The sequence below is a fragment of the Homo sapiens genome, chromosome 8 (assembly GCF_000001405.40).
Source record: "Homo sapiens chromosome 8, GRCh38.p14 Primary Assembly".
Taxonomy (NCBI): Eukaryota; Metazoa; Chordata; class Mammalia; order Primates; family Hominidae; genus Homo; species Homo sapiens.
Window position 1 is genome coordinate 128,360,465 of NC_000008.11, and position 22,721 is coordinate 128,383,185.

General features: G+C 42.5%; 1 annotated feature.

Moving 5' to 3' along the window:
- Window positions 1,325–1,945: an enhancer, noted in NCBI's record as "NANOG hESC enhancer chr8:129374035-129374655 (GRCh37/hg19 assembly coordinates)". NCBI's record gives its function as "activates a minimal SCP1, AML or CMV promoter by ChIP-STARR-seq in naive H9 embryonic stem cells {active_cell/tissue: H9 hESC(naive)}" and the evidence as "EXISTENCE:reporter gene assay evidence [ECO:0000049][PMID:30033119]".

Below are 22,721 nucleotides of genomic sequence, written 5' to 3' on the forward strand. Positions count from 1 at the left end.
AAGGAGGTAAGAGGGCAAGTGTGGAAGCAGGGAGGACAGTTAGAAGGTCCCTGGAGTGGTCCAGAAAATAAGATGATAATGTCTTGATTTAGGATGGCATTGATGAAGAGCTGAAGAAGGAGATTTGGGTACTTTGGAAGTGAACTTGATAAGAATTGGTGAAAAGTTAAACATGAAGGCTAGGGAGAAGGAGCGATCAGGAATGTCTTTCAGATTCCTGGCTTAAGAAACTTGATGGACAGGCGTTCTCTCAATGAAATAGGGAGGACAAAGGAGAAGATTAGGCGTTAGATGAAACTTTCAGTTTGGAACAGGTTGCTTTTGAGATAGATGTGAGACATCCAAGTGGAGAGACAACTGAATATGCAAGCCTGGCAATTGCATATGTCTTGCTTCTTTTGACGATTCTGAGAACCAATGAACTTTTCTATCTATTGTAGTTTTTGGTTACTTTACATCTAATAGGTAGCTATGAAGTAATGTGAGGCAATTTCTACATATTATTTTATTTAGCCTTATACACAGTGAAATGTCCTTCTCTAATTTCAGTTGAGAAAATTGAGACCAAGAGGAGTGAAAACATGAGACAATGTATAGATTTTGGAACTGGGTAAAATCTGCTAATAACCAGTGGAACAAAGATTCAAACCCGGGTCCTGTTCTCACCTGGATCCAAATCTTCTCATGCCATATCTGCTATTCCCTCCTTCCCTCCCTCCTTTTCTTTTCTTTCTTTCTTTTTTCTTTCTTTCCTTCTTTCTCTCTCTCCCTTCCTTCCTTTCTTTTTCTTTCTTTTCTTTTCTTTTCTTTTCTTTCTTTCTTTCTTTCTTTCTTTCTTTCTTTCTTTCTTTCTCTTTCTCTCTCTCTTGCTCACTCTTTTCTCTTTCATTCTGTAATCTATCATTCTTTCATCTTTATCATCAATATAATCTATCTCTGATCATCTGTATTTGTCTATGTAATCCTTTTAAAAAATCAATTCCTCCATCCATCCATCATTTCATCCATCCATTCATCCATCCATCTTCCCAGAAATAGATAAATCCTCAAGAACTGAAGGGTATTTAAAAGGTCACCACTTCATAGATGAGGAAATTGAGTCCCAGTAGAGAGAAATCTCTTGCCCAGAGGCACTCAGTGTTGGTTAAAATTTTACTTTTTCACCCCGTTTCCTTAACCAGTACCTTTCTTCCTTTCTTCCTTTCTTTCTTTTTTCCTTTCTTTCTCTTTCTTTCTTTCTTTCTTTCTTTCTTTCTTTCTTTCTTTCTTTCTTTCTTTCTCTTTCTCTTTCTTTCTTTCTTTTTCTTTCTCTCTTCTTTCTTTCTTTTGCTTTCTTTCTTTCTCTTTTTCTTTCTTTCTTTCTTTTTTTTTTTTAATGCCTCCTCAGAGAACAGCTCTACTTGAAGCCTAAAGAGAACACTGCCAGGCCTCTGGAGGTAGAGTTTGCATCTATTTCCAGCATTTCTCCCCTCTGGTGTTTAAATGTATGGGGTTCCCCTCTGAAGTTCTGCAGAGCAAAAGCATCAGCAGGTGGCCTCTCAATGGCTGAAACTTCCAAGGTATCTGCAGTCAGTCTGCTAACACCGTTTTTCTCCCCTGCTGCTGCAGCAAGACAGAGAATGGGTTTGTAACAGGGGACAAGATAATGATCAAAGAAAAACTTAGAGTGAAGCCTTCTTGTGTAATTGATTTGGAGGTGGAGGAGGAAGCTGCTGGCCTCCTGGCTGCAGATTTGGAATCCTGCCAGGAGTTAACTCTTCAATAGCTGCCCTCCTGAACAGCCTCAGAACAGGAGAGATGAAGCACCAGAAGAGAGTTATCAGAAGAGTGTTCTCTTCTTGTCAGAATTGTCCATTCCTGAATCATCTGTGCTTTGAATTTACCCCAAACTGGAATGATATGAAAAAAAAAGAATAAAAGGGAAAAATATTAAACCACTGTTCATTTTTGTATTGCATTAATTTAACCTAGTAGTCAAATTGATGCTCATAAGCTCAATGATTATGTCTTGGCTCATTATTATAATGCACATTTATCAAGGGCCTGTCTATGTGCTAGGCACTAAAGAACCAACAACGAAAAATACAGTTTCTTCTTGATGTGGCTCTGGGCTCCATACTTAGTCTTTTTATCCTACCATTCTCCCCCTCATCAGAATATGAGCTAGTTTCCAAATGAACAACATTTCCTTGGGTCACTGACCTTCTTTGTACATGCCCTTGTCTTAGTTGAGCAGGCTCTGATGCACCTTGGCTTCCTTTGAACATCTTGACCATCAAGTCTAATTGCAAGGAATGACTATGCTGAATCTTCTTTATTGGTCTCTTCTCCCTTTACATTTCCATTGCAATCTGGTATAACTTGGCTTGATCGAAGTTGTTTTAAAATGAATTGTTTCAGCAAGTAGGTGGGGATTTCTTGAGTGCAGAGACCGAGTCCATTCGTTTCCATCTCACTCACAGACACATGGCACCTGGCATAGAGTAGGTGCTCAAAAAGTAATGGCTTAATGATACAATGAGTGAGTGAAGAACTCACACTCCTTTAGAGATCTCAGCTCTACTCTCTACTAACCTAACATACTGGTGTAGATACTACTGTGGAGATATATATATATATATAGTATATATATGTAAATATATATACGTATATATATGTGTATATATATACGTATATATATGTGTATATATATACGTATATATATGTGTATATATATACGTATATATGTATATATGTGTATATATATACGTATATATGTGTATATATATATACATATATATATATGTGTGTATATATATATACATATATATATGTGTGTATATATATATACATATATATATGTGTGTATATATATATACATATATATATGTGTGTATATATATATACATATATATATGTGTGTATATATATATACATATATATATATATGTGTATATATAACTTTGGATGCTCAGGGGAAGATTAATCACCTCTTCCCCAGGATAGAGATAATAAGCAGATTTAACAGATAATATTTTTGCACTGGGTCTTAACGTGTGAATAGGTGGAAGAGAGAGGAAATGGCACCCAGAGGTGGAGAACAGCATAAGTAAAGGCAAGCAACTGGCCATGCTTAGTGTTAAAATACTCTGGGAGTTGTGGGAATTAGGGGCGGATAGTACCAGAAGGAGTGGGAGAGGGCAAGGTAGAGGAACAAAACACACAAAGAAACTGGTATTATTTTTAAACTTATTACACAAAATTTAGAAGTGTCCAAAAAACAAGAATTGTATAATGAGTTTGCAGCTTCAACAATTATTAATTATTGTCCAATATTGTTTAATCTATAACCCCACCCATTCCCCACCTCCATGAATCTTTTGAAGCAAATTTCCACAGGTTATACTATTTAACTCATAAATATTTCAATATGCATCTTTAAAACATAAGGACTCTATTTTGTTTTTTAAAGCATAACCACAATGTAATTATCACAACTCAAGAGTTCTACAACAATTACCTAATACCATAAAATATGCAGTGTTCAATTTTTTATTGCATTTTTTATTTTTTTGCATTTTGTTTGAATCATTTCAAATAAGTTCCATACATGTCAACTGGTTGATGTTTATCTCTGTAAATCTACAGCTTTTCCATTTTCTCTTTTATTCCATTGAAAATTTTTATTTTTATTCATTTGTTTTTCATTTTGTGTCATCCTTCAATTGTTTTATTCATTTGTTTATTTTCATTCATTGGTGTTGTTGAAGATACTGGGTTGCTTGTTCTAGAGTTTCTGACTCCAACAGTCTGGGTTTTGCAGACTGCATCCTCGTGACCTCATTAGCATGTTCTTTTTTCTTGGAGCCAGGTTCTATTTTTTGGCAAGAATACTTTATTGAAGCCATGATTCAACAATTCACAGAAGTTGCAAAATGGTGATATTCTAATTCCATGTTTGAACCGAATGTTTCCTGAGGCCCCTTCCACTTCTGAAAAGGCTGTCCCAGATGCAGAGATGGAATGTGGGAAGGAAAGAAGTGAGGAAGAGCACCTATTCTGCAGCACCTGTCCTGGGAAGGCATGAGCACAACAGATGAACAAATGCTGATGACACATTTTTCCTCCTTCAAATTTTCTTCCTGTTCAACTTTAAAGAGAAGAGTTAAAGTACCAGTGGGTGGAGAATAGGGAGAAATGTATAGAAGAGAATTAGTGAGAAGGGAAAAACAAACATGCTGCTATCTCTGTGTGTTTCTTTCTGGGTCTCAGTTTTTCTCGTCTATAAAATAAAGCCCTGCTATAATTTGAATGTGTCTCCTCCAAAATTCAAATGTTGAAACTTAATGGCCAATATGATGATATTAAAAAGTGGGACTGTTAAGTGGTGATTAGGTCATGACAGCCTTCTCCCCTTATGAATAGGAGTAAGGCCATTATAAAAGAGGCTTCAAGGGCCTCCTACCATACGAAGAGGCAGTACGTCGCCCCTCTGGAGGACACAGCAGAAAGGCGCCATCTTGGAAGCAGAGAGCAGTCCCCACTGGACAACCAAACCTGCCGGTGCCTTGATCTTGGGCTTCACAGCCTCCAGACCAGTGAGAAAATAATTTTCTGTTCCTGATATATTACCCAGCCTCTGATATTTTTGTTATTCCAGCACAAATAGACTAAGATAATACCTTTCTAGCTCTGACAGAGCCCCATGACACAGAGTCAGAGCATTTGTACAGGTGTGCTTATAAACATCTGAAGAAGGAAAGGAAGAAGGAAGGAAGGAAGAAAAGAAGGAAGGAAGGAAGGAAAGAAGGAAGGAAGTAAATGAAGGAAGGAAGGAAGGAAAGAAGGAACGAAGGAAAACACACACAAAAAAACTCCTGAAAATGAAAAGTTTTATACACAAGACTGCTCTACTGATCCACAGATCCACAAATAAACTTCAGTAAATTGACTTCATAAAACATTTTCCTTAACTGCAGTCATATTAGCAGATATATTTTGTGCTGTTATTAAATATTTTAAATGCTGCAACTTATGAGACTCTAGTAAAATTTGATGTCTATATAGCTGAGACTACAAAGTGAGCCCACTTTTGGACTCAATAGTAAGGTTTGGGGGTTAAATGGTTAATTATCTTACATTTGGATTACAAAACAGCTTCCTTAGTGGTGTCAATAGCTTCATATTAACCCCAATCTGTAGTAGTATTCTAAAATATAAATTGGACTTATTTTCCTTACTTAAAACCTTTCAAGGGCTCCTCATTACTCTAGCAATAAGCTCTAGACTTTTAGCTTTCATTGCATTACTTTCTGCTCCTTCTCATGTTTGAGTTCTGTCAGCATTCTTGGTTGCAACAAACAGAAACTAATGAGACCTAATTTAAGCAAAAATAATGTACTGAAGCAATAGTGTAGCAGCTCCTGAGTGTGTCTCTCTGTATACCCTTGGCACTCACCATTTTGATAGAAGTCGAGAGCATTCTGTTGGGAGCATTTATGACTCTACCTGCAGAATTTTTCTTGACACTTTCGTAGGCAGACTGAACGTTCCAGGGAGCTCATGCTTGAGAGAAGTCCTCAACCAATGATGGATGGAAATTATACAATAAATACCCTAGGTTCTTCATTCCTCAGATGGGACAACTCTGAAGAATAAATCAGAAGGATTGAGCTCTAGGTTCCTCCAGCAGTAACCTGTTTAATCATGTGTAATATATTGGATTTCTTTCTCTATTTTTTTTTAAATTTCTCTCTTCTCCACTCCTTTACTGTTTCCTTCCAGCATCACTTCCTCAATCCTTGTTTCAAGGTCTACTTCTGGGACATCCAACCTTGGGATATAGTGAGTAGCTCTCAGAATCACCTAGAAGGTAGGGGAATTGGGCTTGGAAAAAAATTGCAACAAAGGGAAATGATGAGACAAAACCACAGAATAAATTACCCCATACACGAGTCCAGCAAAGATACCCAGCTACTCTTGCTATACATGACTGGAAGTAGAAAGCCACTGGATGATTTTACACCTGCTATACATAGGCTTACCTACCACCACACTAGAGACCTCAGGCCACCCTGTGGTTACCACTGAAACCATTTGAAAATAATCAGTGACCTGGGAAATTCTTCTCACCGCTGCTACTGCTACCATCAGAACAAGATATTCCAATGTCTTATCTCTTAAATTCTTTGCTCTAAGTTCAAAATCTTTGGTAGAGGCAACTGATTGAGTAAGCATAGATCACATTCCATAGCTCAGTTACAAGAATATGGAAAAATAAGGATGTATACATTTTTTAGCATATATAGTGGGAGGTAGGGTTTGGTTTCTGACTAAGGTTTAGAAAGGAGGGAAATTTCAAAACACAGAAGTGGGTTCAGACACAGAAGAACCTAAAAGGAGACCACCTTCCACCAAATAACATGGAGTTCCTTTAAACCTACTTTGTCATGGCATGCTGACTCAGCATGCATATCTCCCTCTACTTTGAATGTTCCTCTTGGTCTCGAAAACTACTTTTAGAATTCAGGCTCAGATGCTACTTCCTCAAGGCCTTACCTTTGTTTCACAGGAAGGATTGAGTCTTTTAATTCCATGTGCCTTGGGTTCATCCTGGTCATGGCATTTATTGAACAGTATTATAGAAGAAGGTGTGTCTTTCCTATTATCCATAGAGCTTCTTGTAGACAGGATGACTCCCTTGCTTAACCCTTAGTATTTGACACAATACAAATCACATCGTGAGAGCTCAAGAATCTTTACCTAATAAAAAGCCAGTGACCTATTGCAAAAGAGATATTCTACCATTTAAAATTATGATGATCAATGCGCACCAAGTATCCAGGAAACATTTTGGTTGAGGGAAAGTCCGAAGTTACTTTCTTTGTCATGGTAGCTCATGGTAGCAGGACTTTGATCATTTGAAAAGGTCCCGTGTTAACAGCTTACAGGATCTAACCTCATGGTTTTTAAAGATGTATTAAAGACAATTCATTAATCTAATAATTCAACAAGCATGATTAGTTCCAGGCCTGGTGCTGGATATCAAGAATGATGTTGAAGAAAGCACTTTTCTCAAAGGAGAGTTGTGCTGGTGGAGGGCAGGCATTTTTACACCCCCTTGTAGTAGTGTGAATGCATCCCTTACTACATAATGTAAAAAAGTGCTGTAGGGGCACTGAGGAGGGAGAAATCAACTTGTTCTGGGAGAGTTTAGAAAGGCTTCCTGGAGGAAAGGTTTTCAAATTTAAGTTCTGGAGAATTTTACATGGCAGGAACATTAATAGAGGAAGGGTTCATGGAGGGGAGAGGTGAATAGGACAAGGACAGGAGGTGTAAACATTCAGGAGCTACTGGGGGACTGTGTGCTGTCCAGTGTGCTGGAGTCTGGCTGTGGTAGAGATGCCTCGGCAGAGCTGAGGCTAGTGGGGAGGAGAAGTGAGGTTGTATGCAAGCCTTGAATGCCATCCTGAGGAGCTTAGACCTCATCCTTTGTAGGAAATAGGAAGCCACTGGATCATTTAAGGCAGGGAAGTGTAAGGGAGGAAAAATAATTTTCTATTTTTTATGTTTTTTAACTGAGATTCTCCATGACAAAAGACAGATTAACAAGAGAAAAACAAGTTTATCAACCTGTACAGTTCATGAATACAGTTGGTCCTCCATATCCATGGTTTCTGCATCAACCAACCATGGATCAAAAATATTAAAAAAACAAAAACAGTGAAAAACAACACACAGTAAAACATAATACAAATTGAAAAACTACAACAATTTACATAGCATTAAAATTGTATTAGGTATTGTAAGTAATCTAGAGATGATTTAAAGAATGTGGGAGAATGTGTATAAGTTATATGCAAAGGCAACACCGTTTTACAATGCGGGACCTGAGGGCTCACGAATTTTGGTATCGTGGGAGAAGGTGGGGGTGTGGATTGGAACAAATTAGGAGTAAATCTTTAGAGTAGATCTCAAAGAAAGAGCTTAAACTTCAGACTTAAATACCATCATTTTCAGAAACTAAGAAATAAGTATGTGGAAAAAGGTTTGGTTAAGAGGAGGTGGCCAGGAAAATCACTGAAAAACAAAGGTAGAGTTTTGTTATGAAGATTTAAGAGCTGCCTTCCCTGTTGTTTAAGAGTTGTCCTTCTTTTCCTAGTGCAGAAAGGGAGATACTCTTACAAATGGAGAATTCCATTATAGATGTGAATTTCTCTTTAAAAACAGTAATCTTTCAGAGCTACTCCTGTGTCTATAGTTTTTCAAAATAACCAGTTCAAAATAATTCTTACACCAAAGAGGCATATTTTGGGGTGTCATGTTTTGATCTCCTACAGTCATATTTTGGGGTCATGTTTCTTTAGCCTCATTAGGATAGGCTCCTGAAATAATCATTGAAATAATTACTTCATCTCTCTGAGAGACTAAGGCTCTGAGAGATTGGAGTTTCATCTTTCACGAGTCACATGGCCTTCCTTAAGCAAGGTGAGAAACCCATCTGTGTCCTCCTTTTTTCATCTGCAAAATGAGATTAATAGGATTATTTAAGAATTAAATAAAATAAATCAGCCAATTTAAGATAATGCGTGGCAATGCTTAATATTTATCCCCAGCTACTATTACTATTATCATTATTGGTTTATTTTGGATCAGTGTCTCTGGCAGCAACAAGAGCCACGGATTGGAGGGGAAGTAAAGACAAGAGGCGGAACCTAGTGAGGACATAGTGTGACCTGGGGAGTCCCAAGAGAGATGAGTGGACTTTCACTCAAGCCACAGCAGTGAGAATCAAGAAGAAAGAGCTGGAAGTGAGTGTCAGGGAAGGTGAAGGAGCCAAGAGTGACTAAGAGATTTCTGGGTTCTTAGACTAGCATACGACATGCTTCATGTTTTACCCTTGATCTACCTCTCAGTCCTACCTAGTGCAATGCCCTATCGTTTCACATATGCTCTAGAACTGCTGCTCTAATATATACCTAAGAGAAACCATTTTGTTCTAGACCTCTACTCCTTTTCTCAAGAATCTCCTGTGTTTGGAACAGACTTACAACCTCTCTTCCCTAACAGTCTGGGAAAAAGAAACCTTTCCTTTTTCTTATTTCCCAAGGCTGCATTAGGTTTTCCCAGAGCATCTTGTCCTTACTCTGTCAAATACTTGTCTCACCTTTGGGATTGCTTGTTTATTTGCCTGTCTTGCTTTAGAAAATTGCAAGCTCCCCAAGGCCAGAGACCATATCTTATTTAAACTGTATGCCTGGCAACTGGCATGACGCTGCATAATAGGTGCTCAGTAAATGTTTGTTGACCTGAAATTAACTAGCTTAGGCCAGCAGCTATTTGATAAAGTCCAAAACCAGTGGTTCTTAAATGTAGTGAGCTCCTGATAGACTTCTCCAGAGATGACAGGATCAGACACAGGCTGGCAGCTGCGGGCTGTAGGCTAGGTGTATGAATTTTGACGAAAGTTCTTGGGTGGCTCTGAGGCACATGTTGGGTTCACTTGAACTCACTCTTTGTCCCTCTGTATTGTCTGTGAAAGGCCCTATTGTCCTGCCTCTTTCTCAATGAGGCTATGAGCATGAGTAACATAATAACTAGTGGAAATGCTGTATTATTTATGCAACATAAGACTGCGAGTGAAGTTCCTAGCAGTGGAGTTATTAAGCAATGCATTCTTGGCTAATGACTAGCCTGTTGGGGGCCCACTTTCAGAACACCTTTCTCTTCCACATCATTTCCTTTCTGACTTTTTTTTTTTTTTGAAAATCTATGAAACTGCCTTTACAAAATCATGACATTAAGAGAAATCTGACATAGCTCACCCCATCTTGCTTCTACCCTGTAAGCTGTCCTTGTTCATTCCTAGGCATAGATGAAGTTAGGAGGAATTCATAGTTTAACTTTAAAGTAAGGATGACAACACTCCTTCCTCAAACTGCCCTCTCCTCATTCAGGGACCAAAACAACCTTGGTAAAACTAATGAAAGGCCACAAGATTAGGATTATGAGAGGGGCCTGAATTTTGCCAAGATGTAGTCATAGTTAAATAATAACCAGCCATTGTTCAGGAGGTCACAAGATTTGTAAATTCCTCAATTACTTCTATAGATAACATCACTATTGTAGAAACTAAGATTGATTTTTTGACATGTTTTTTCAGGCTTTTATATTTCTGGTGGTCAACTGACCTCATGCAGCCTCAGGAAATAGGAAAAAGGAAAGGTTCCTCAATCAATCCTGCGACCCCCTCCTAGAGGCTGACCCAGCACATAAGGACTGCCTTTCACACCCCTATGATTTCATCTTCATCCAATCAGCAGCACACATTCCCTAGCCACCTGCCCACCAAATTATTAAAAACTCCAGTCTCTGAATTTTCAGGAAGGCACATGGCTAGATTTGTATTAAACAATTCCTTCCTTCCTTCCTTCCTTCCTTCCTTCCTTCCTTCCTTCCTCCCTCCCTCCCTTCCTTCCTTCTTTCCTTCCTTCCTTCCTCTCTTCTTTCCCTCTCACTCCCTCTCTCTTTCTTTCTTCCTTTCTTTCTTTTAAGCCAGGTCTCACTCTCCTGCCCAGGCTGGAGTGCAGCAGCATCATCTTGGCTCACTGCAACCTCCACCTACCAGGCTCAAGTTATCCTCCTACCTCAGCCTCCCAGTTAGCTGAGACTACAGGTGCACACCACTATGCTTGACTAATTTTTAAATTTTCTTGTAGAGATGGGATCTTACTATATTGTCCAGGCTGGTCTCCAGCTTCTGGACTCAAGAGATCCTTCTACCTCGGCCTCCCAAAGTGTTAGGATTACAGGTATGAACCACTGCTCCTGGCCGAAATCCTTTCTTTACTACAATACCACTATCTCAGTGAATCAGTTTTATCTGTGCAGTGGGCAAGAAGAATCTATCAGGTGATTATTAGAGGGCTTCTCTTTTTCCCCCAAGAGGATCATATTTCGGGTTTCAGGATATGACTTTGACATCAAGTTCCCTTGGGGTGAAACCTGTTATTGTAGAAGCCACTTGGAGACATCCCCTTGGAAACTTGCCAAGAACTTCCCAGCATTCAAAGGAGCTGCTCACAGTGTCAGGCAGGGGCAGGGCTTGAGGGGACCAAAAGGGATGGGAGGAAGGCACAATACACCATGTTACTTTTGGAGTTGGGAAGCAGCTCTTTCATCACTGGCCGTGTGATTTCAGGGCAAGCCCCTCTTCTCCATCATGTCCATTTCCTACTCTTTATAATGAAACTAAAATTTCCTCTCCAGGTTGCTAGATACAGTAATATAATTAGAAGATGATTCTAAAGCAAATAGCACTCAGTGAATGCCCCTCCCCAATCCTTTGTCAGATTGGGTACTCCAGAAAGCCAGGACAGAATTAAATGGATGAGAGGTTTGTTGGAGGAAATGCCCATGTAGGATAAGGAGAAATGGAGGCAGATCAGGTGGAGAGGCTTAGAATGTGATGTGGGGGTGACACCTGTAAGGGCAGAGAGGGAAAGAAGAAGAGGGATGAAGAGCCTCAGACCCACAACAGCACTGATAGAGCAGGCAGTTGGGGAAGCCAGGAGCAAAGACGGGCTGCTAGAGGAGTCTTGAATTAGGTGAAAATGGCCTGGCTCTATTGTCCTCACAGTGCTCAGTCATTAGATGGGAGCTGCCTGAGTCTCCTGAGCACCATGGTGGATCCTGAAGGCTCAGCAGCTGGCGGCTGTCTGTGGACTTCCTTCATTCTACTCAGCAGGTTCTCTGTTGAGGGGACATCTGAGCAGGTTACTCTCCTAGCATCACAGCTTCCACACACCCCTCTTTCTTCTTTCATCTTTTTTCTTGTCTATACCTTGAGGATAAAGACTTCTATTACTCACTTTATCAGTCTGCTTGTGCTGCCATGACAAAACAACACAGACTGGGTGGCAAAATTTATTTTCTCATAGTTCTGGGGGCTGGAAGTTCAAGATAAAGGTGCCAGTAGGATTCATTTCTCCTAAGGCCTCTCTTCCTGGCTCGTAGACGGCTTCCTTCTTGCGGTTTGTGTGCATGCAGCTCTTCCTCTTCTTATAAGGACATTAGTTTTAGTGAATTAAGGCTCCACCTTTATGCCCTCATTTATCCTTAATTACATCCTTAAAGTCCCTATCTCCAAATACAGTGACACTGGAAGTTAAAGCTTCAACATATAGTTTTGGGGGAGACATAATTTCGTCTGTAACTTATTCATATACCTCATTCAGTAAATGTTTCTTCCTTTCCTCCCTCCGTTGCTTCTTCAGTCTTCACATTAAAAGCCTGCCATGTCCACCCAGTGTGCTTGGCATGCAGAGACAAAATATACTATTCCTACACTTAGTGAGATGACAATCTGTTGGGAAGGAAGTACTTGGGATTTGCACTCTATGATGATAGGTGCAATGATAAGAGTGAGCCTGGATACTGGATGAACACAAAAGCAAAATCTCTAATCCTGCCTAGGCTTGCTGAAGTGTCCAAAAAACACTTTCTGGAAGAGGTAGTATCCAAGTACATTTTAAAGAATGGGTAGAATTTAGCAAGTGAAGAACATGGAAAGAGCATGCGCAAATACAAGGAACTTTGAGAGATTATAGTCCACTAAAGCAACTACTGCTACTCCAGTGTGCAGGGAGCACAGGAAAAGCCCTGAGGGATATGCTGAGAACCAGGAATGCAGGGGGGTGCAGCTGTTGGTGCCAGTGTTGCTGGTGTTGGTGCTGCTGGTGCAGGTGCTGGTGCTGTTTGTGCTCGTGCTGCTGGAGATGCAGGTGCTGGTGGCGCTGATGCTGCTGGTGCTGTTGGTACTGGTGCTGGCACTGCCTGTGGTTCTTGTTTTGCTAGTGCTGGTGCTGTTGCCACTGGTGCTGGTGCTCCTACTGCTGCTCGTGCTATTAGTGTTGGTGCTGGTGCTGCTGGTACAGATTATGGTGCTGGTGCTGCTGGTGGTACTGGTGCTGGTGTTTGCACTGGTGCTGCTTGTGGTACTGATGCTGGTGCTGGTGCTGCTGCTGCTGGTGTAGGTTCTGCTGCTGGTGCTGCCAGTACTGTTGCTGCTGGTGGTGCTGGTGCCAGTGGTGCTGGTGCTGGTGCAGGTGCTGCTGGTCCTGTTTGTGGTACTGGTCCTGGTGTTGCTGGTGCAGGTGCTGCTGCTGCTGCTGCTGCTATTAGTGCTGCTAGTGATGCAGGTGCTGGTGGTGCTGATGCTGCTGGTAGTGCAGGTACCGGTGCTAATGCTCCTGGTGCAGTTGCTGGTGCTGCTGGTGCTGGTGTTGCTTGTGCTACTGGTGCTGGTGAATGTGCTAGTGCTGGTGCAGGCGCTGGTGCTGCTAGTGCAGTTGCTGGTGCTGGTGCTGGTTCAGGCACTGGTGCTGCTTGTGCAGGTGCTAATGCTGCTGGTGCTGGCGCTGGTGCTACCTGTGTTAGTACTGGTGGTGCTGGTGCAGTCACTGGTACTGCTGGTGCTGCTGCATGTGCTGGCACTGATGGAGTGTATATCATAAGTCTGATGCTCTGCTCAGAGTTTGGATTTACCCTGAATTCTCATTACAGCATCCTTTCCCTCTCCTGCTTTCCTTCCTGTGCTTTGATACATTAACAAACTATTCCCTAATATTTCAGGGTACCTGGACTTAATCTAAGGCTCACAATGCCTTTTCTCATGTTTCCACAAAACCACAGATGCAAATGACACATTCATAGAAAGGCATCTTTCCCTTCCTCTCTGTAAGCAGAACCCGAAGCTCACAGAGATGCATCTGTTCTTATGCTATAAACAGTGGCATGTCACCATCCCCCTGTTATTAGTGTAACTGCTGTGCATGCCGAGTAGATGCCTTTATCTTAGGAGCTGTATGTGAAATGGCCCAGAAACATCATATTAAGACTCAAAAGATGCAATTTAAATTTCCTCTGGCTGTAGAGATGCCACCAACACAGTGATTACATGTGTCAAGCAAGTGCAATGCAGGAGGGTTCCCTGTAATTGTGGATCCCAGGCCATGGACTTCAGATGGAGGTGAAGACCTGGTGAAAGGGGCATGCATTGCTGGGCTGTGCTTGGGTATAGCAGGTACTCGGCGCATACGTGGGAGTTATTAATTTCAGAGATAGAAGGGGCTAAGGGAGCAGTGAGTGGAGGGATTGTTGCTGTTAATGAGAAAGATTAGGCTCAGAAAGCCATTATTGGCGTAAGGTCATGATCACACATCGAGGCAGAGTCAGGACTAGAACTCAGAACGTCTAAATGCAAATCCAAACCCACTCATTTGTTCACAAAATATATTTTGAATGCCTACTAAGTTGTAGGTTCTATGCAAAGTAATCCACATACATGGGGAATAAGAAAAGTATTTTTCTCTAAGAGTTTACTGTCTGGCTACATCTTAGAGGCATCCTGGTACTTCAACAGACACCAAAGCCTGGCCCTGGTTCCAGAGTTTCTGATTTAATAGGCCTTTGAAGGGGCCCAGGTATTGATGTTTTCCAAAGCTTTCCAGGATGAAGAATTTTCAGTTGAATGCTGCACCGTCCAACAGGTGGTTGTTGCAATGTGGCTAGTTCATAGTGCCATGTGCTATTGAGAGGTGAAGCCAGCTGGACTTCTGGGTTGGGTGGGGACTTGAAGAACTTTTCTGTCTTACAAGTGGTTTGTAAAATGCACCAATCAGTGCTCTGTAAAAATGCACTAATCAGTGCCCTATGGCTAGCTAGAGGTTTGTAAAATGGACCAATCAGCACTCTGTAAAATGGACCAATCAGCACTCAGTAACAGTACTTGAAAGTAAGCCTCTTCCCCCAGGGACCAGTGCCCAGCTAGCAGAACTACTGGCACTTATCCAAGCCTTAGAACTGGGAAAGGGAAAAAGAATAAATGTGCATACAGATAGCAAGTATGCTTATCTAATCCTACATGCCCATGCTGCAATATGGAAAGAAAGGGAGTTCCTAACCTCTGGGAGAACCCACATTAAATACCAGAAGGAAATTATGGAGTTATTGTACACAGTGTAAAAATTCAAGGAGTTGGCAGTCTTACACTGCCAAAGCCATCAAAAAGGTGAAGGAGAAAAAGCAGAAGGAAACCATCAGGCAGACACTGAGGCCAAAATTGCTGCCATGTTGAACCTCCCATTAGAAATATATATGGAAGGGCCTTTGGTATGGAATAACCCTTTCCAAGAGATTAAGCCCCAGTATTCCCTGACTGAAACAGAATGGGGACTTTTGCGGGGGCATAGTTTTCTCCCCTCAGGGTAGTTAACAACAGAAGAGGGAAAGGTACTCATACCTGAAGCTAGCCAGTGGAAAATACTTAAGACCCTCCACCAAACTTTTCATATGGGTTTTGAGAACACTCATCAAATGGCTAAATCCCTGTTTACAGGGCCAAATCTCCTCTGGACCATCCGACAAGTAGTCAAATCCTGTGAGATGTTCCAAAGGAATAATCCCTTGGTCCATCGTGAGGCCCCTCTGGGGGAACAAAGAATAGGTCACTATCCTGGAGAGGACTGGCAGTTAGACTTCACCATATGCCTAAGTCAAAGGGATTTCAATACTTGTTGGCCTGTGTTGACACCTTCACAAATTGGATAGAAGCCTTTCCCTACAAGACAGAGAAGGCTTGGTAAGTGGTTAAAGTCCTAATTCCTAGATTTGGGCTTCCCCAAAGCTTACAAAGTGACAATGGTCCAGCTTTTAAGGCCACAATAACTCAGGGAATTTCTAGGGCGCTAGGGATACAATGTCACCTTCACTGCACCTGGAGGCCACAATCCTCAGGGAAGGCCAAGAAGACAAAACACTCAAGAGGCACTTAAGGAAACTAACAAAAGAAACTCATCTCCCATAGCCTACTCTCACCCATGGCCTTGTTAAGAATCCGAAATTCTCCTAAAAAAATGGGGCTTAATCCATATGAAATGCTGTATGGATGACCTTTGCTCACAAATGACCTCCTATTTGATCAGGAAACAGCCAACTTGGTCAAGGATATAACTTAGTATGGGAAAATGAAAACAACAAACTCACACACCTTTTTAGCATACACAGCCAGTTTTGTCTACCCAGCCAAGGCATATTCTTCTTATGTGGAACTTCAACCTCTGCCTCCCCACCAACTGGACTGGCACCTGCACCTTAGTCTTCCTAAGTTCCAACACTGACATTGCCCCAGGAAATCGGACCCTATTAGTGCCCCTCAAGGCTCAAGTTCGTCAGCGCAGGGCCATACAACTAATACTCCTACTTATAGGGTTACAAAAGACCACTGCTACAGGAACAGGAATAGCCAGTTTATCTACTTCATTATCCTACTACCACACACTCTCAAGGTATTTCTCAGACAGTTTGCAAGAAATAACAAAATCTATCCTTACTCTACAATCCCAAATAGACTCTTTGGCAGCAGTGACTCTCCAAAACCGCCGAGGCCTAGACCTCCTCACTGCTGAGAAAGGAGGACTTTGCGCCTTCTTAGGGGAAGAGTGTTGCTTTTACACTAATCAGTCAGGGATAGTACGAGATGCCGTCTGGCATTTACAGGAAAAGGCTTCTGAAATCAGACAATGCCTTTCAAACTCTTATACCAATGTCTGGAGTTTGGTGACATGGGTTCTCCCCTTTCTAGGTCCCATGACAGCCATCTTGCTATTACTCACCTTTGGGCCCTGTATTTTTTTTTTTTTTTTGCAGCACAAGATTTATTAAAGCAAAAGTGAAAGTAAAACAAAAGTGAAAGTGGAGCCTCCACAAGGGTGGAAGGGGACCCAGAAGTGTTGCCGTTTTTTGGCTTGGATGTCTTATGCTTATACTCAAGAGGCACTTAAGGAAACTAACAAAAGAAACTCATCTCCCATGGCCTACTCTCTTGCCCATGGCCTTGTTGGGAATCCGAAATCCTCCTAACAAAATGGGGTTCAGTCCATATGAAATGCTGTAGGGACGACATTTGCTCACAAATGACCTCCTACTTGATCAGGAAAGAGCCAACTTGGTCAAGGATATAACTTAGTATGGGAAAATGAAAACAACAAACTCACACACTTTTTTAACATACACAACCAGTTTTGTCTACCCCTTATGACCCCTCCTCTTTTCCTTTTTCTGTCCTATAGAACTAGCTTATTTTCAATCTGCTTGTGGGTTGGTGGGCCTGATTGGTTAAAAACATCAGGCTGCAGCTAGAGCTTAAATTCCCTACATGATTGATTGAAGTCTCAATCCCTTAGCTTGCAGCTATGACTTATCTTGGCTTAGGGAAAGTCCCCTTGGATTGGTTGAAGTTTCAATCCCTTAGCTTGCAGCTACAATTTATTTTGGCTTAGGGGAAAGTCCCCTTAGGGAAGTCCCTATTGACCCTGGAAGTCCAGCCAACTTAGCCACTTAGTCCCTTAGTCCCCTCCTCAACAGGAAAGCTCAAGTGCTGTTGGGAAGTTGGGCGATGATCATTCTAGCTACTTCCTGCTGAATTAGGGCATAGAAGGGGCTCTGCAGTTGAGGTTTCCTCGAGAGGGGAGTCTTCAGTGTCATGGTGTGAGAACAGGTTGGCGGGTCAGTCTAGGGGTCCTTGATAGTAGGTGCTAGTGGTGGTCATTTTGGGCTCCATTTGTAGAACCATTTGCATGGATTCTATTCTGGAAGAGATAAATTTTACAAGGAGGTTAAAAATGCAGGGTCCATACATAAGCAACATCACAATAGCCACCATGGGTCCCAAGAATGGGAGAAGCCAGGGCATCCACTGGTTGACAATACTCCAAGGTCCTGTGTCATGGAGATCTTGTGCCTGGCACTGTATCTGGTCTCAAAGCTCTTTAACCTTCTGGATGACAATTCCGGATTGATTAACAAAATAGCAGCACTCTTCTCCTAGAAAAAGACAGGTTCCACATCTTTTGGCTGTTAATAAATCTAAGGCTCTCCGATTTTGAAGGGCTGCTGCTGCTAATGAGTTAAGCTGGCTTTATAAGGTGACCAGCAAACCTGCGACTCATTCTATGTCATCATTTAACTCTTGTGATAATTTGTAATAAAATTGGGTGGAGGTGGTAATGCCTCCAATGCCGGTCCATAGTCCTCCTAATATCCCAGCCCTGATAATGAATGGCAGGACAGTCCAGGTAAGCTGAGAAGCTGGGTTTGACAGATCTTTAAAGGCAAATAGAAATTGAGAGTCAGGATGCAGACAGATACAGAAGGAAGTGTCCTTAAGATCTAGGACTGTAAACCATTCTGCTTCCTCTGGTATCTGGGAGAGTAGAGTATAAGGATTAGGTACAACCGGATACAGAGGAAAAACTGCCTCATTGATAATTCTGAGGTCTTGCACTAACCTCCATTGTGCGTTGGGTTTTTGTATGTCTAGAATAGGAGTGTTGCATGGACTGCTGCATGGCTTTAGTAACCCCTGTGCTTTTAGGTCTTTGATGATCTTTTGTAACCCTTGTTGGGCTTCTGGTCTGAGGGGTACTGCGTTTGATAAGGAAAGGAGGTAGGATCCTTTAATTTAACTTGAACTGGACAAGCATTTTTTGCTCATCCATATTGTCCTTCCTCTGCCTAGATGTCAGGATTAACTCCCTCCTCGAGCAGAGGGCAGCAAACAGGTATTCCTTCTCCTGCATGCAATTATATAATGGCCCCTGCTTTAGCTAATATGTCCCTCTCTAGTAAAGGAGGAGGGCTCTGAAGCATAATAAGAAAGGCAAGTGAGAAAAATAAGGTTCCCCAGCCACAACTTAGGGGGTGGGAGAAATACCTAGTGACTGGCTGTCCTAGGACCACTTTGATGGTGACAGACCTGGAGGACAGTTTTCCAGGACAGAAGAGTAAAACTGAGAAGGCCACACCAGTGTCCAAGAGGAAGTTAGTTTCCTGGCCCTCAATGGTTAAGCTTATCCAGGGCTCTGTGAGGGTGATGGCATGGGCTGGCGCCTGCCCTGGACACCCTTAGTCCTGTTGTTGGACCATCTGGTTAGTGGCCTCTGGCCCAGAGGACCTTTGCCCTCGGGGGCAGTGTGCCTTCTAGTGATCACTCTGGCACAAGGGACATGGACGAGGAGACAGCTTATTGTTGTTTGGGCAGTCCTTTCTGAAACGCCCCTGTAAGCCACACTGATAACAAGCCCCGTTAGGCGGGTTGCCTGCCCAGCCTTTCTTTCTTTCAGTGCCACCGAAGTTCATCTGCCTGAGGGCCATGACTATGGTGGCAGCCTTTTTCTTGTCTCATCTGTCTCGTTCAGCCTGCTCCTCCTGATCCCTATTATAAAATGCCAAAGTTGCCAAATTCAATAGAGTTTCCAAGTTTTGCTCGGGGCCCAGGGCAGACATTTGAAGTTTTTTTTCTAATGTCTGCAGCTGACTGAGTGATAAACTTATCCTTTAAAATTAGTTTTCTTCCTTCTCCTGCGTTATGGTGGACATCATTGAGAAATTCATTGGCTTTTTTCTGGTCTTTCTTAATCCCTCTAGTATACAAGTCAGTAAATGCCTGCAATTCTAGTCTCCATGCTCTGAATCGAGGTCGCAATGGGGATCCACACTGGGAACTGCCTGTTGGCCTGTGGGGAATAGTTCCCTTTCTTCTGATGTCATTTTATCATTTATCTGGCTTAGGTACCAGAGATCCCCAAACTGCCTGGCCGCAGCTAAGGCAGCCTCTTTTTTGTTGGGAGTTAACGTTTGACCTAACAACAACATAATATCTCTCCCTGCTAAATCAAAAGATTGTCCTAACCCCTATAAGAGGTCTATGTATCCATCAGGATTATCTGAGAATTTTCCTAGGTCCAGTTTGATCTGTTTTAAGTCTGAGAGGGAAAAGGGGACATGTACTCACGCTGGGCCAAAGTCTCCTCCTCCTCCCACAGCTTGGAGGGGACACAATTGAGGGCCATTGGCACCTTTGGTTCCTTGACTATCTTTTTGTCTGGTTCCTTTTCAGGCCGTTAGGGCCAAAGGAGAGTCCTTACTAGTGGGAGGGGGAGCAGTGGGGGGACCTGGGTGTGGGGGTAGGCTTTAAGGATCCCTGGTAAGATGTAAATCAAATTGGTCCCAAATTATCCAGAATACACCTCAGAGGTGGCTTCACTTTTGAGGGAACATCTCCCATCTGAAGGGAGGGCATAGGAGTGCCCACGCTCCTAGTCATGCCCTAGTGAGCACTAGTCCTAGAGTGTCCCCTACAGTTCTAATGTCCTTTTCTTTCCAGGGTGCACAATCACCCATGGAACCCTGCTTATCAGATTTATTTGCACTTACTGATGTAGCAATTTTGCCCACACTCATTTCCTGCCCTTTTTTAGCTGCAAAAAAGGGGGCTGGGGCTGCTGGATTTTAGTGGCTCCTTACCAGTGTGCCCACAATTGTCTTTGCATCTGCAAGTGGGTCTTAGGTTCAGGGTGTATTTTGAGTTTAGAGACCAGTCACCAATTAGCATATTTCCAGGCTTGGAGCTGTCCCAGCAAGATAAATTCCTTGAAAATGGCACTGAAGCACAACAGTTTTAGGGTAGGCAGTGGCAAATTGGAGGACCATGGTTGGCGCAGTGCTTTTTGTACCTGAATTTTCTGTTCCCTATTTGCCCTCCTAAGAATATTCATTGACCTTTGGTCTTGAATAGGGGGACCTATTATCTATTATATTGTTTTTGGCCCATAGTCTGACTGCTTCGAGTGGAGAAGTTCTACAGTTCTAATTGCTGATCCCAAACAGGAAAGGTGGTAATTAAAGTGGCCTCTATAATCTGGAGTAAGTTTAGGGCAACAAAAGGAAAAATGTCCTAGGACTTCTGTCAGCCACTCACATGCCTTTTGATGTCCCGGATAGTGCCTAGGGTACAGGTTATGAGGGACAGGTCTCATATAAGTATATTGATACATATTTGCATAAGAATAAGCCTGGGGGCACCATGGGCAAGGGTCTTTGGATTGCCACTCCACTCGACTTAGGCTTCTAGCCAAAAGATTCTTAGACTCAGGGGTAGGAAAGATCCTAGAAGAGAGGGCCTAAAGTATTCTCTGAGGACATTAGGACCCAGGAGGCATGGGTCAGAAAAGGCAGGGAATGCATGCATGGGCGGCTGCAGACTAGAGGCTTCTTGCTGTGCCATGATCTTGACTGGGTCAGTGCCAGGAGTTTGGGGGACAGTTTTCCACCTCCAGCCAGCCCTCAGCTTTTCCCAGGAAAGGTAGAGAAAGGTGGAACTGGTTTCAGGCAAACCAATGCTCCCAGCCTGGAGGGCCAGGGGTTGTTAGAGAGCCCTTTCCCAGAAAGCCTCACACCTGTGTCTTAAGTCCGGTGGCAGTGCTTGTTGCTTTTAAATGGCCGATGGGTGCCTGGTGTTTTCCTCCAAGTTCTAGTGAGAAGATAGAACAGAATAGCAAGTGAAAAGGGTTCAATGTTACTGTCTGTTTTGGAGAAATCCCAGGTGGGCCCCCAGAAATGAGACAAGAGGTAATGTCCCGATCAAAGGTCTTTTCTCGATTGAAGGGCTGGTGGTCTCACGGGCTTCAAGGAATGAAGCCATGGACTGCAGCGGTGAGTGTTACGGCTCAATTAGAGAAACACACAGACCCAAAGAGTGTGTGGTGGCAAGATTTATTAAAGTGAAAGTGAAAGTAAAACAAAAGCAAAAGTAAAGCTTCCATGCAGTGGAAGTGGACCTGGAAGGGTTGTCCCAGGCCCTGTATTTTTAACCTCCTTGTCAAATTTGTTTCCTCCAGGATCGAGGCCATCAAGCTACAGATGGCCTTACAAATGGAACCCCAAATGAGCTCAACTAACAACTTCTACCAAGGCCCCTGGATTGACCCACTGTCCCTTTGACTGGCCTAGAGAGTTCTCCTCTGGAGGACACTACAACTGCAGGGCCCCTTCTTTGCCCCTATCCAGCAGGAAGTAGCTAGATTAGTCCTCACCCCATTCCCAACAGCAGTTGGGGTGTCCTGTCTAGAGGGTGGATTGAGAGGTGAAGCCAGCTGGACTTCTGGGTTGGATGGGGACTTGAAGAACTTTTCCGTCTTACAAGAGGTTTGTAAAATGCACCAATCAGAGCTCTGTAAAAAAGCACCTATCAGCACTCTGTGGCTAGCTAGAGGTTTGCAAAATGTGCCAATCAATGCTCTGTAAAAATGCACCAATCAGCACACTGTAAAATGGACCAATCAGCAGGACATGGGTGGGGACAAGTAAGGGAATAAAAGCTGGCCACCCCAGACAGCAACGGCAACCTGCTTGGGTCCCCTTCCACACTGTGGAAGCTTTGTTCTTTCACTTATCACAATAAATCTTGCTGCTGCTCACTCTTTGTGTCTGTGCCACCTTTAAGAGCTGTAACATTCACTGCAAAGGTCTGTGGCTTCATTCTTGAAGTCAATGAGACCATGAACCCACCAGAAGAAACCAACTCTGGACACACTATGAGACTTGAAATGAGCAGAAGAGTTTAAAATATCTCACCTTTTTTAAAAACTTCAAAAAAGTGGCTACTAGAAAATTAATGATACATATGTAGCTTACATAATTCTATTGAACAGTGCTGGTGTAGAGGAAGATAAAGAGACATTGACATCTTTTTTCAGTGACTGTACAATATCTCTCTATGATTCACTTACACATACACAGAGCCTACATACAAGGACACAAAGTGGCACAAAGAGGGTGACCCCAGATCATACCCCAGGCAATATAGTGGAGGTGGAAAATAACCTTTGCCCTGGAGATACACT